This window comes from Homo sapiens, chromosome 8, assembly GCF_000001405.40.
Source record: "Homo sapiens chromosome 8, GRCh38.p14 Primary Assembly".
In the NCBI taxonomy this organism is placed as follows: Eukaryota; Metazoa; Chordata; class Mammalia; order Primates; family Hominidae; genus Homo; species Homo sapiens.
The window spans coordinates 120,067,976-120,083,222 of record NC_000008.11 but is presented as its reverse complement, the minus strand read 5'-3'; the positions used below and the strand labels follow the sequence as shown (position 1 = coordinate 120,083,222).

Here is a 15,247-nt window from a genome sequence, read left to right as displayed (position 1 = left end):
AGAGCCAAAGTGAGACTGAGACAGCCAAAGAGGAGCCCAGGCCCTAGCCAGGCAGAGAGAAAACAGATTGCAGATTACAACAGCCACAGCCTTGCTAAAAGCTGAACATAGAGAAATGTCCTCCTACTTAGGACAAACTCCTTATTAAGTTGAAAGCAGGACAGCCTTCCTCCCTCCCTTTCCTAAGGATGCTTATTAGCCTACTTCTTCTTTTCTGTTTGATTCACTAATAGTCCCGGTATGTCCCTATTTCTCTAGGGACTTGATATCAAGTCCCTGGTACTGAAGCATAAATCAACTTGAATGCCATTGAACTGAAAATCTTATCTCTTTGTTAATTCCCAGATGGTGTTCCAAACTTCTGCGTCCCAAGACAGCTTCACCCTTCCTGGGGAATGCCTTGTGACCGGGCACACTGCCTGGGAATTCAAAAGGAAGCCACTGATTCTCCCACTCTTCTGGGAAGTTTAGGCCTGGGGACCAGCTATGAGTCCAAACTCATCCACCCAGGGTGCATCATGTTTTCGTGCTAATAGGATGCTCGTCAGCCTGTCTTGCGTAACTTGGACATTGTCTCGCATGCCCAGTGAGATAAGTGGCCACAAGTATGCAGGGAGGCCTTTACTCTGAGACCTTGACTACTGCTCTGAGGAATCACAACAGAGATAATGATGTTCCCAGAAGAAATAGTTCAAGCGACTACCAAAAACACTGCTCCTGAACCTCTTTCTGCAAGGCAGTGGGAGTCGGTGTGCCTGCAGGTCTGAGGCTCTGGGATAACTCTCTCCACTGGCCTAGGCAAGAATTCAAGAGACTTGGTAAAGGAGTCCCGTGAGTGGACAAGAGATTTTGATGTTTGTTTGTTAGTTAGTTAGTTACTTAGTTAGTTAGATTTATGACTGCTAACTCGGCCACACCTCCTGAATTCAAACTCCATCTCTGCCACTTACAGGGTGACTTTAGGAAAGTTCCTTAACCTATCTGTGCCTTGGCATTCTCATCTGTATAATGAGGATAGCAACACTACCTGCCTTAGAGGGTTGTTGCAAGAATTAAATGAGACACAACAAGATATTCCATGTAAAGTATATGGTGTCTGACACATAGGAAGGTCAATAAATGTTACCCGTTATTATTATTAGCTTAATGGTATTAGCCTCCTTAAAGAGACAAAGCTTACATAAACTCTAGAAAGCAACATATCTTCCTATCTAGATAGAAGTAATCAACACAAAATTATACTTCATTAAAATGTATGGGCACAGATTCTAAACCCTAGCCTACTAAATAGCCAAGCCTGTATGTAAATAATATGATTCCCTCTACCTTTATTTCTAGGAAGAATTATCAATGTTCTTTGGTAAATTATCTAATCAAGACTGTACTTACAAATAAGGTGGCAAATTATTAGTAAAACAGCATTCAGGCCAGGCACTGTGGCTCACACCTATAATCCCAACACTTTGGGAGGCCAAGGCAAGCAGATCACTTGAGGCCAGGAGTTCCAGATCAGCCTGGCCAACATGGCAAAACTCATCTCTACTAAAACTACAAAAATTAGGCGGGTGTGGTGGCGCACACCTATAGTCCCAGCTATTTGGGAGGGTGAGGTAGAAGAATCCCTTGAGCTCGGGAGGTAGAGGTTGCAGCGAACTGCAATCACACCACTGCACTCCAGACTGGGTGGCAGAGTGAGAATTTGTCTCAAAACAAAACAAAACAAAACAAAACAAAACAAAAAAACAGGCCAGTTGTGGTGGCTGATGCCTGTAATCCCAGCACTTTGGGAGGCTGAGGTGGGTGGATCATCTGAAGTCAGGAGTTCAAGACTAGGCTGGCCAACATGGTGAAACCTCCTCTCTACTAAAAATACAAAAATTTGCTGGGTGTGGTGGTGCATGCCTGTGATCCCAGCTACTCGGGAGGCTGAGGCAGGAGAATTGCTTAAACCTGGGAGGCAGAGGTTGCAGTGAGCCAAGATCGTGCCATTGCACTCCAGCCTGGGCGACAAGGGCGAAACTCTGCCTCAAACAAACAAACAAACAAAACAAAAAGCAGTACTCTATGGACGAATTGTGACTTTTAGAAGATGCAGAGGCACAGCTTCTGCCAGCTTCTGATCCTTTCGATCTGGGATTACAAAGGTGTGAGTTAAGGGGATCATCGGGCCTGCAGAAGTGTTTGTTTCATTAGGGCAGTGGTTTGGTTCTATTTTGTTTTAACAAAAAACACTGTTGTGAATTTGAATGCTTTAGGAGGAGCACGCTGTCTGCAGCTAACCACAGTCCCTCTACTCACCATCGCCTTATCCCCTGCCTCTGCACACATTTCCATACCCACATGCCAACATGGCATTTGAGTTTACCACCTCTTAAAAAAAAAAAAAAAAAAAAACAGAAAATAGCAACAAAAAAAATTTCAGGACCACTGGGATTCTTGTAACCAGTCTTCTCATTGCAGAAGGACTATTGTTCATACACAGAATCCACATACAACAGCGATCCACCAGTTCCCAAATCTGCCCTTCCTTCCCTCTTTCTCTTCTTCACACTTCCCTTTCAGCTCTCCAACCAGTTTGCAGAGTTGGATTCAGCAGAAGAGGGGCATTCCTATCAATCTTTTCAGTGTTTCTCACCATTAAATAGGTAAGACAGATTACTTGCTTTTTTTCACAGTTCTTAAAAGATGTGACTCTTGGCTGGGGCTTTTCCTGAGTAAACAACATGGCAACAGGGAGATCCAAGCCTTCAGGTATCTTCTGACTTACTGGGCAGCTGTCGGCACAAAGACAACCCCAAGCTGCAGGCTGGATGGGAGAAGCTTCCAGATTTTAGATCTCCTTTTTTTTTTTTGCTTCAATATTTTTCATATAGAGCCAAAGCTCTTGGTGACACCATTTTTAATTCTTGTATTCATGTATCATAGGTCATGGCAAGTTCTCTGGAACTGAATTGTTAAATTTGCTGAGAATTTTAACATTCCTTCTATCTTTATAAACCTACATTCAACTGTATATTCCCTGTTTAATTATTGCATTGTCTCAAAGATTGTTGGGTTTTGCTTTTTTTTGTTTTTGTTTTTTTGCTCTGCAACCAGAAGGAGTGAGGTAGGGACGCAGGTAGAAGAACACTGTTCTAAGTTCCAGTAATGTGTCTTCGTTATTGTATCTAAGTTATCTTAATGTATCTAAGTTAACATATCTAAGCTATCAGCTGTGACACTTTGGTGGTATTCTCCATGACAGTTTCACAAAGTCTCATTTCCTTCACATGGAAATAGAGCCAACTAATAATTTTGAATCCATCATCTTGTGGTAAGAGCTTTTGTTACCCGGTATAGTCAGGAAAAAAATTTAAAAATAAATAAATTGATAAAAGCCCTACAAGGCCTATGAGAGAGATTACTTATCTGCGTAAGACCACTGTAGGGCATGATTCCAGGAAGCATCATTCCTCACAGTTTGTGTGAATGTTGTTGCCTACAGCTGTGCAGGATGCAACCAGCATGACCCGCATACGTTGGCCATGTAAAATGTGGTATTTCCTGCTCTGCGTCTAAATATGTCTGTTGTAAATAGGTAAGTTCTATCTGTTACATCAATCTACTTACAATAATTGCTAGAGAGTATTTTTTTAACTTGGGGCTTTATGAAACAACAATAGAATTTGTTGAGATGAACTGAACAATACACTCTACAATACGAATTATTTATACTTTACTGTGCAATTAATATACCGTAATTATGTAGCTCAAATTCTAGTTACTATTCAATGGTATTCTACCAAAGAATGCCAATTACTCTCCTTAACCAGGAAATGCTGAAAATCATTAGTTTATGTTAGTAAGAATACTGGCCTTTTCTGCTGTGGTACAGATTCTCTTCTTTGTTTTTCATTTAAGTTTTTTCTTTTTCTTTTTTTGAGACAGTCTCGCTCTGTCGCCCAAGAGTCTGGAGTGCAGTGGCATGATCTCGGCTCGCTGCAACCTCTGCCTCCTGGGTTCAAGAAGTTCTCCTGCCTCAGCCTCCCAAGTAGCTGGGATCATAGGCGTGTACCACCATACTTGGCTAATTTTTGTATTTTTTAAAATAGAGATGGGGTTTCACCATGTTGGCCAGGCTGGTCTCAAACTCCTGACCTCAAGTGATCCACCCACCTCAACCTCCCAAAGTGCTGGGATTACAAGGATGAGCCACTACACCAGGCCCAGATTGTCTTCTTTGAATTGCCCAGGGTTTGTTGAAACTGTTATATGTGTCTCACAGTGTTCTTTGCTTGCATATAACTTTCTTATGCCAGTGCCTTCATCACTGTTTGCAGAAAAATTTTATATACCCTCTTATGATATTGCCAGTGAGGTCTTGCTTACCTCCAGTATGCTCTGCTTACTGCTGGAGCCATGTTCCCCCATTGTATTAGCTTCCTAGGGCTGCCATGACAAAGTACCAAAAGCTGGGTGGACTAAACAACAGAAATTCACTGTCTCACAGTTCTAGAGGCTAGAAGTCCAATATTAAGGTGTTAGCAGGGTTGGCTCCTTCTGAGGGCTGTGAGGGAAGGATCTCTTCCAGGTCTCTCTCCTTGGCTTGTAGGTGGCCTCGATCTCCCCGTGTTTCTGCACATCGTCTTTCCTCTGTGCATGTCTGTCTCTGCATCCAAGTTTGTCCTTGTTATGAGGACATTAGTCATTGGACTAGAGCCCACCCTGATGACTTCATTTTAACTTGATTACCTCTGTAAAGACCCTATCTCCAAATAACATTATGTTCGGAGGTACAGAGGGTAAGACTCCAACATCTCTTTTTTAGGAGAGGCAATTCTACTCATATACCCATTTTCCTGGAAATAGCTTTTATTTTCTCTCTCTTTTTTTTTTTTTTTTTTTTGACAGAGTCCTTCTCTGTTGCCCAGGCTACAGTGCAGTGACGCAATCTCAGCTCACTGCAACCTCCTCCTCCAAGGTTCAAGCGATTCTCTTGCCTCAGCCTCCTCAGTAGCTAGGATTACAGGCACACACCACTATGCCCAGCTTATTTTTTTTGCATTTTTAGCAGAGACAGGGTTTCACCACGTTGACCAGGCTGGTCTCGAACTCCTGACCTCAGGTGATCCGCCTGCCTCGGCCTTCCAAAGTGCTGGGATTACAGGCGTGAGCCACCGAGCCCGGCTGGAAATAGCTTTTCTTTGTTTGCTAAATATTACAGCCTGGCTGTACCCTGAACATCCCACTCGGCTCAGTCACTTGGGGTTTCCTTCTTTCTGCCAGAGCAATCATTTGCTGCTGTTGTATCAGCGAATGTGATTAGAATTATCTCCCTTTGTTGAGAGGACAGGCTTGTGTAGAGTTCTATTTTGTTTTGTTTTCCCTTTGAGCAGAAACATGGGCATTATGACATTTTTCTGTGTAAATCCAGCATAATAATCTCCAATTGGCTAAAGTTGGAGTTTACTATTAACTGTTTCACTTCCACTTGGATATAAGCCAGTGATTTTGAAGTTTATGACTGTGACCCAATCACAGTCATAGGAGAGTTTTGAAATCAATATATAGGGTTCTGACTAGCATTTTCTGGAAGGCAGTATAATTTTTTTAAAAAAAGGTTTTAGGCCAGGCACGGTGGCTCACACCTGTAATCCTAGCACTTTGGGAGCGCAAGGCAGACAGATTACAAGGTCAAGAGATTAAGACCAGCCTGACCAACATGGTGAAACCCCGTCTCTACTAAAAATACAAAAATTATCTGGGTGTGGTGGCACACACCTGTAGTCCCAGCTACTCGGGAGGCTGAGGCAGGAGAACCTCTTGAACCCAGGAGGTGGAGGTTGCAGTGAGCCGAGATTGCACCACCACACTCCAGCCTAGGCAACAGAGTGAGACTGCCTTAAAAAATAAAATAAAAGGAACAGAATAGAATAGGGTAGGGTAGAGTAGACTAGTACCTAGTTGAATTAAAAAGAAAAGAAAACATCAGAATGTATCTACACGGTAAGGGTACATGCTTGTGGCAGTCATTCATGCTGTTCATCAGTTGTTTTTAGTTTCTTTCCCAGGCACATGAAGGGATGGCATTTCCCCACTCCTTGAAGTTAGGTGTGGCCAAATGACTTAGCCAATAACATGTGAGGAGAAGTGATGTGTATCGCTCCAGGTGAAGCTTTAAGAGCCACTACAGATTTGCTGTGCTCCCTTTCTCTCTACTGCTGATGTTGGTGACCTTTGAGATGGAGGCTGCTCCATCCAGAGTCCTGGGATGAAGAAAAAAATGGAGCAGGATTCCCAGCCACCTCATGATGCACACAACACAAGCCAGAACAAAATTTTTATTGTTTTAAGCCCCTGAGATTTGTGGTTGTTTATTACTGCAGCATAACCTAGTTGATCTGTTTCAGTATGCTGTGTAAAACTTATATTTCAGTTACATATGTCATTATACAAAATGAATCCTTTTTTTTTTTTTTTTTTGAGAGAAAGAGAGAGTTTTGTTCTTGCCGCCCAGGCTGGTATGCAGTGGTGTGATCTTGGCTCACTGCAACCTCCACCTCCCAGGTTCAAGTGATCCTCCTGTCTCAGCTTCCCGAGTAGCCAGGATTACAGGTGCCCGCCACCATGCCCAGCTAATTTTTGTATTTTTAGTAGAGATAGGGTTTCACCATGTTGGCCAGGCTGGTCTTGAACTCCTGATCTCAGGTGATCCACCCGCCTCAGCCTCTCAAAGTGCTGGGATTACAGGCATAAGCCACCACACCCAGCCCAAAATGAATCTCCTACTGTACATTGTAAGCAAGAAGTTTGATAGCCACTAACATAGACTGCATTTTTATCTTATGTCATTTATCTTATATTTATCTTATATCATTTTTATTTATCACAAAATAGATTCATTTTGTATGATGATATATAAAACTGAAATATAAGTTTTATGGAGTATACTGAAACAGTTAGATCGAGGTTATGCTGCAGTAATAAACAACCCCCAAATCTGAAAGCGACCTGAGAAATAATTCTAGTTCAATGCTCTGGTTTTAGAAGACTACTGAGGCTAAAAGATGTCAAATAATTTATCTGAGGCTGGGCCTGGTGGCTCATACCTGTAATCCCAGCACTTTGGGAGGCTGAGGCAGGAGGATCATTTGAGATCAGGAGTTCAAGACCAGCCTGGCCAACATGGCAAAACCCTGTCTCTACTAAAAATACAAAAAATTAGCTGGGTGTGGTGACACACACCTGCAGTCTCAGCTACTTGGAAGGCTGAGGCACAAGAATTGCTTGAACCTGGGAGGTGGAGGTTGCAGTGAGCTGAGACCATGCCACTGCACTCCAGCCTGGGCAACAGAGCAAGACTCCATCTCAAATAATAATAATAATAATTTACCTGAGGTCACAGTGTAAAGGAGGACCACACTCAAACATACACTTGACTTCCAAGCCAGTGCTTTATCATAAGTTTGTGCTTTGGAGATAATCATATGAAAATTCTTTGAAACTACAAAACTTCATAAGAATGCAAAGTAATGACAGTATCACAAGAAGGGATAGAGAGTAAGGTGGTTAAGAGCCTAGGCTTTGCCAAACCTGGTTTCAAATCCCAAAGGACATTATTTAATCTCTCTGAACCTCTGTTTTCTTATTTGTGAAATGAGGATACTTTTCCTTATTTCATATTTTCTCATGAATAAATGAGATGATCAATGAAAAGTTCTTAGCACAATACCTGGCCCACAAAGTGTTAATATATTATTAGTAGTAAATATAATACCAAAGAATTTATGTTTTAAAAATAAAAGGCGAAAGCTACTCTGGGCCGGGCACGGTGGCTCACATCTGTAATCCCAGCACTTTGGGAGGCCGAAGGCAGGCGGATCACGAGGTCAGGAGTTAGAGACCAACCTGGCCAACATAGTGAAACCCCATCTCTACTAAAAATACAAAAAAAAATAGCTGGGCATGGTGGCAGGAGCCTGTAATCCCAGCTACTCAGAAGGCTGAGGCAGGAGAATCGCTTGAAACTGGAAGGCGGAAGTTGCAGTGAGCCAAGATTGCACCACTGCACTCCAGCCTGGGCGGAAGAGCAAAACTCCGTCTCAAATTAAAGTATTACCCATATGATATAGACAGCAGTTTCTAACCCTTGTGTTGCTGACATTTTGGGCCATCCTGTTCATTATAAAAAGCTTAACGCACCAGATGCTAGTAGTACTCAGTTGTGATGACCAAATATCTTTGGAGACATTGCCAAATGCCCCCTGGGGACAAAATCAGGCCTGCTTGAGAACCACTGCTGCAGAACCTCCGCTTAGAGTTTTTCAATTACTACTTTTTTTTTTCTCCAAGTTATTGGTAGAAAAGAGAATTACTGCTTTCTATTAGACAACAAAAGCAAAAGCACAGAACAAGTTTAACCCCTCTGAGAGAAAGATATCTGTGCTTCCTTATTGTTACATTTTATTGAAGCCACTAGATTAATGTCTATCTCACCCACTAGAATAAAAGCTTCACAAAGGTACTATGTCTGGCTCTTTTCTGCTGTGTCTCTAGGGTGCAAAGCACCAGACACATAGCAGATGCTCAATAAAAATATCACCAAATGGGGCGGGCACGGTGGCTGACACCTGTAATCCTAGCACTTTGGGAGGCCGAGGGGGGTGGATCACCTGAGGTCAGGAGTTTGAGACCAGCCTGACCAACATCATGAAACCCGGTCTCCACTAAAAATACAAAAACAAACGAACAAACAAAAAATTAGCTGGGCATGGTGGCAGGTGTCTATAATCCCAGCTACTCAGGAGGCTGAGGCAGGAGAATTGCTTGAACCCCAGGGGATGGAGGTTGCAGTGAGCTGAGATCGTGCCACTTCACTCCAGCCTGGGCAAAATAGCGAAACTCTGTCAAAAAAAAAAAAAAAAATTCACCAAATAAGCAAATGAGTAAATGAGAGAGTAACTTTTCTCTGCAGTCCCTTCTACCAATAGGAAAATGGTTCCTGCAGGATCAATAGGTTAGAATAGGTTTGTGGAAAGTAACTTCATTCTGGCTCCATCCCTAAAATAAAAAGGTTCTCTCAAGACAGTCTATTCTTGCAAACAATAAGGTCTTGTCCAGAGCACAAGTCCTCAGATGGGGATTTGGAAAGGTTAAAGAGAATCCCAGTTTTTAGGGTCAGCTATGAGGACGCAATATGATGACCCTATATGGAACTCCCAATAGTATTCCAACATGAAGAACTCCTTTCAGGTCAAACTGACAGAAAAGCAAGATCTACAGTATTTTCAAAATTCCCTGTGGCAGTAAGGACAGGTCCCATATTGAACACTCTCCCATGGGTCACAGTCATAAACTTCAAAATCACTGGCTTATAACCAAGTGGAAGTGAAACAGTTAATAGTACATCCTAACTTTAGCCAACTGAAGATTATTATGCTGGATTTTCACAGAAGAATGTCATGGTGCCCATGTTTCTGCTCAAAGAAAAAACAAAAACAAAATAGAACTCTACACCATTAGAGTCTGTCTTCCCAACAAAGGGAGATAATTCTAATCACATTCACTGATACAACAGGAGCAGATGATTGATCTGGCAGAAAGAAGGAAACTCCAAGTGACTGAACCGAGCGGATGTTCGGGGTCGAGCCAGGCTGCAATATTTAGCAAAGAAAAGCTATTTCCAGGATAAGGACAGGTCCCATGCTGAAGATGCAGTGTGAAGAGGGCCAATTTTGTAGTAGGCAGTAAAAGATTGCAAAGCCACTATAGATGTGACTCCACTCCCCTCCTGCTGCTTGTGATTGTGGGCTACTCCCCAGGAGCAGAGCTGCAGGAATAATGACGTTTTTGTGTTCCAGGTCACTCTGCCCTTGTTATTTCTCACATGTAGTGGTTCAGTGAGCCTGAAAAAAATATACACCTTCTCTTCTAAAGCCATGCTATCTATTTACTCAGCTCGTGACTCTGCCTGGATACACAAGACCAGTAACAGTCATTGTGTTTTATTCTAACTTCTTTTTTGTATACCAGCTGGTAAACACAGCCTTCTCTAACTATTCTTACAATCACACAGTCTCATCAGCTGAGTGGATTTTCGTGATTCTTGCTGGCACCCACCCAAAGCTACCACTTTGTCTTTCCTGAGTCCAATAGCTGGACTCAATCTTTTTCTTTTTCTTTCTTTTTTTTTTTTAAGACAGAGTCTCACTCTGTCACCCAGGCTGGAATGCAATTACATGATTTCAGCTCACTGCAACCTCCGCCTCCTGGGTTCAAGTGATTCTCCCACCTCAGTCTCCCAAGTAGCTAGGATTACAGGTACCTGCCATCATGCCTGGCTAATTTTTGTATTTTTTTGTAGAGATGGGCTTTCACCATGTTAGTTAGGCTGTTCTTGAACTCCTGACCTCAGGTGATCCACTTGCCTCGGCCTCCCAAAGTGCTGGGATTACAGGCGTGAGCCACCGCGACTGGCCTGGACCTCATCTTTTTCTGTGGCTTCCTCAACCCCACCTCAATTTACTTTTCCCCATTCAAGTCTATGACTTTGCTGTTGTGGATGAATCTCATTTCTTCCCTTCTCCAGCAGCTTTGAAGCCCGTGTTTATTATTTCCTACATGCTTCTCTGTATGTTTTATTTATCTGTTTCTTACTTTTGTCCTTAAACAAAATATGACTCCTCTTTCCCTCTCCTCCAGAGATGGCCTCTGTAGGATCTCCCAGCAGCCAACGGTAAAGAAAAGACTGTCTTGACAAACCAACAGAAAATGGGCAAAGACTCAAATAGACATCCTCCAAGGAGAATGTCCAAATAACCAATAAACATATAAAATGTGCTTAGTGTCACTGGCCTCCAGGGAAGTCCAAATTAAAACCACAATATACTACCACCACACACTCACCACAGTGGCTGAGATGAAAAGGGTGGAGAAAACACCAGGTATTGGTCTTAATGCTCATACACTGCAAGTGGCAGTATAAATTGGTACAACCACTTTGGAAAACTGCTTGGCAGTATCTACACAAACTAAATATATGCAGTTCCCTACAGCAATGAGTGCTTAGGCCCATCCAAAAACATATTCTAGTATGCTCACTACAGATGTATAATTGCCTCAAACTGGAACTACCCAATATTCATCAACCTAAGAATAGAAAAATAAATGGTATTATATTCCCACATGGAATATTACATAGAAATGGGAATGAATTGGCTGGGTGCAGTGGCTCATGCCTGTAATCCCAGCACTTTGAGAGGCCGAGGCGGGTGGATCACGAGGTCAGGAGATCGAGGCCATCCTGGCTAACATGGTGAAACTCCGTCTCTACTAAAAATACAAAAAATTAGCTGGGCATGGTGGCGGGCGCCTGTAGTCCCAGCTACTCGGGAGGCTGAAGCAGGAGAATGGCATGAACCCGGGAGGTGGAGCTTGCAGCGAGCTGAGATTGCACCACTGTACTCCAGCCCAGGCGGCAGAGTGAGACTCCGTCTCAAAAAAAAAAAAAAAGAAAAGAAAAGAAATGGGAATGATTGTACAGCCTCACACAACGTGAATGAATCCCACCGACAAGATGTTGAGTAATGGAAGCCAAACACAAAAACAATGTACACTATATAATACCGTTTAGACAAAGCCCTAGAACAGGTAAAAACAAATCTGTACTGTTAGGAGTGATAACAGTGGTTACCCTTAGGTTAGAAGGGAGGTGGAGGCTGGTCATACAGGTGTGTTCATTTTGTAAAATTCATGAAGTGGTACCATTATAATCAAGGCACTTTCATTTTTTTCTTTTTTGACACAGGGTCTCACCATCATAGTTCACTGTAACCAAAAACTCCTGAGTTCAAGTGATCCTCCCCACTCAGCCTCCAAGTAGTTACCTCCACATCTGGCTAATTTGTAATTATTTTTGCAGAGACAGGGACTTGCTATGTTGCCCTGGCTGTTCTCAAACTCCTGGCCTCAAGGGATCCTCCTGCCTCAGCCTCCCAAAGCTCTGGGATTACAGACATGAGTCATCGCTCCTGGCCACTTTTCAGGGTTTACGTTATATAGCATCAGGGGTCAGGTTACCTGGAGGTTGACTGAGATTAATATCTGTGGATGAGAAGTTGACTGGGGCAGATGCTCTTAGGAACAGTATCTGTGAAAGAAGAAAGGCAGCAATGAGCACAGCAAGCAGATGAACTGAGAGACAGTCAAAGGCCTCAGTCAAGCCCACTGGAAACTCTGGAGCTGTGATGGCTTTTCCGCTACAAACCCTGCCCTGTGGAAGTAGCCAGCAAGTGGCCCTTCCAGGTTATCTTAAATTGGGCTTTAAGGGCTGGGTCTTTACATGTCCACATTGATTACATATCAATTTTTTAAGAGGTGTCTTCAAGTATTTGCAATGTAGTCAGTCCTTTCTTTAAAATTGTGGGCTACCATAGGGAAGGGAGCATGACCTTGAACCAGGCAGCTCTCTTTAGCAGAGGTCATTTTTGGAGAGAGGCTCAGATGAGAGCTACTGACCACCAGCACTCCTAGCAGCCAGGTAAATGAGTGTCTCAGTCCAGAAGGAGGCCACAGCAACCAGTGCATATGTGAATAAAAAGTTTAAAAACAAAGACTGTGTCTTGGACAATGAAAGAAGAATCAATTGAAAGAACAAATGAACACACGGGACACACAAGATGTACAGTGAACATATACCGGCACTGAAGCGATTTATTAACCACCAGTCATTTGTTTCATTATCCCGAACTCTGGGCCAAAGTGGGCTATTTCATTAGCTAGTTATCATGAGCAGATGTTAATACGTGTGTTTATTCCCATATTGCTTAGTTCCAAGAAGAATTTCCTGTGACTTGCCCAGATACTTACAACCCAGCAAGAGAAACTTTACTTATTAGTAGCGCATTATGGAACTTCCCATATACAATGTGGCATTCCAAAGAGTGGTTGAGCACTTTCAGCCTTGCTGGCTACTTCCAAAGGGCAGGCTTTGCGAGCAACATTCCTGCTGTTCAGTACTGTGGCAAGGATAGCCCTATCCGCTCCAACAGGGCTTGGGCTGAGCCGGTGGATTACTTACTAGAGTTGAGGCTGCAGTTTTCTGGAAGGCAAAGATGACTGAGAGGTTGAAGAGCTCTCTTTAGTAAACAGTGTGTTCCCTGTCGTGGCAACGGGCCCATTGCGAAATCACGTTCCACTGGGTCTCACTCTTCTCCCTGCCACTGGACTGAATCATCTCTTTGGGTGGGAGCCCACAGTCACTCAATCAATCTTCCATACGTTTATCCATTCCTTTTCTCCCAGAGAAAGTCTGGGCTGGGGACAAGCAGATTCTTGTTGAGTTTTAGCCACCAAGAACTCTTCTGCAAGGTAGAGAGGATCCTATCACGGTGGCAAAAAGTAGCGCCTCTCTTTGTTCCAAGTTTCATCATAAACGGTTGTTGAATTAGGGTTCTCTAGAGGAACAGAATATATAGTGTGTATATACACACACACACACACATATATAAGGGAGAGATTATTAAGTATTAACTCAGAAACACAATCATAAGGTCCCACAATAGGCCATCTGCAGGCTGAGGAGCAAGGAGAGCTAGTTCGAGTCCAAAACTGAAGAAATTTGGAGTTCGATATTTCAGGGCAGGAAGCATGCAGCATGGGAGAAAGATGTAGCCTGGGAGGCTAGGCCAGTCTAACCTTTTCACATTTTTCTGCCTGCTTCATATTCGCTGGCAGCTGATCTGGATGGTGCCCATCCAGATTAAGGGGGGTCTGCCTCTCCCAGCCCACTGACTCAAATGTTAATCTCCTTTGGCAACACCCTTGCAGACACACCCAGGATTAATACTTTACATCCTTCAATCCAATCAAGTTGACACTCAGTATTAACCATCACAGTTGTACTTTCCAACAATGGAGCTGAAACAGGAGCCGGGGCAGGTAGAACTGGGAGCCTAGCCAATCTTGGTTGGAAGGGAAGTCTGCCTCTAGCTGCCCTCTTTCGTAAAGTTTTTCTATGGAGTCCTTGCTTTCCTTTCTGTTCCCCAACTCCTCAATGAAAGCCCAAGGTGCCCAGGGTGCTGTGGCTCTGCCAGTGGCTTTTCAGGGCAAAGCCAAATGAGAAGAGCACCACAAAATCAGATCTATTCCTCTCCCTACATTACCACCATCATTTCATTTGAGAGGTGCTAGTGGCTTATAGGAACACTGAGCCCTGGGGACTCACATACCCGCAATGGGCAATTATATACAAGACTATAAAGGGATAGAGCGGCCCCATGGCTCTTTGTTAAAGCAGATTGCAAAGGGCTTCCAAGGTCTCAAGGGTCATGGTTCAATCCTTTCCCAGGTAGCTCCAGAATGTTTTATGTAACACTTAACGGTTCCCATACTGCAAGTGGACTTGGCAGAGACACTCTATAAAAGGCTGCCTGAGTGGATATTTATGGTTTTGTCTTCCAGAAAAGCCTTTCTTTCAAGGAAGTGCTGCTCCAAATTATTGGGACTATGGATTCATAGGACTCCTATGTCTTCAACACAGTAAACACATGTGACCCAGATGAACCCATGGTAGGTTAGGAATCCATCTCTTTATCCACAGAAATTGGCCCAGGGATAGTATGTGATGTAGGTCAGACTACTTGGAATTCTTGGACAAGATATTTTACACTGGAGCAAACAAAAGAAGTATCCTTTCCTTTCTGATTGGTAACCTGTAAGAATTCGAGCCCAGAGCTTCTGTCAGCTGTGCATACACACACACAAAGAGAGAGAGACAAAGAGAAAGATACAGAGAGAGAGATAGACCCCTGGCAGGCAGCCTTTCAGGTTTATTCATCATAACTTCCTTACACTAGGATGAGAAGACATCCAAATGGGTATAGGGCCCATTTGTCCCAGTTTACACCTGTTGTTCCAGCTTAATCATTAACTTTCCTTCTCAGAAGTGTAGCTCTTTCAGTCTCGGAAGTGCCCCAGGTGGATGATAAATTATTTAATCATTGTTCCTGTTGCAATGTGGTTAACTAAAGCAATACAGCCTTTTTCTTTTCTCTTAAAACTGGTTCAAGCTGGTTTTCTGTCACTTGCAAGCAAGAAACATTATGACTGATCTACCACTCTTTTCTGAATTAATCAGGCAATCTTTTCCACAGTACACCTTCTGAATCTGATTGCTTGCATTCTTGCTTGAATTCTTTGGCAGATGCCTGATTCTGTGTCTGGTGCTTGGTCTCCACTTCCTCTGTGGAATTGATACCGTGGGCTCTTC

The 15,247-nt window shown here is 43.2% G+C and overlaps 1 long non-coding RNA gene across 1 annotated transcript in view, besides 1 other annotated feature; it reads right to left on the bottom strand.

The window, feature by feature from the left end:
- Positions 1-13,478, bottom strand: part of LOC105375730 (uncharacterized) — a 37,891-nt gene extending 24,413 nt beyond the window's left edge. The window contains exon 1 of the long non-coding RNA XR_928593.4: positions 12,058-13,478. This is a non-coding gene — a long non-coding RNA (uncharacterized LOC105375730). The remainder of the gene's footprint in view (positions 1-12,057) is intronic.
- Positions 486-686: a silencer, noted in NCBI's record as "peak7153 fragment used in MPRA reporter construct". NCBI's record gives its function as "represses an SCP1 promoter by STARR-seq MPRAs in K562 erythroleukemia cells {active_cell/tissue: K562}" and the evidence as "EXISTENCE:reporter gene assay evidence [ECO:0000049][PMID:32103011]".
- Positions 13,479-15,247: the final 1,769 nt, after the last annotated feature.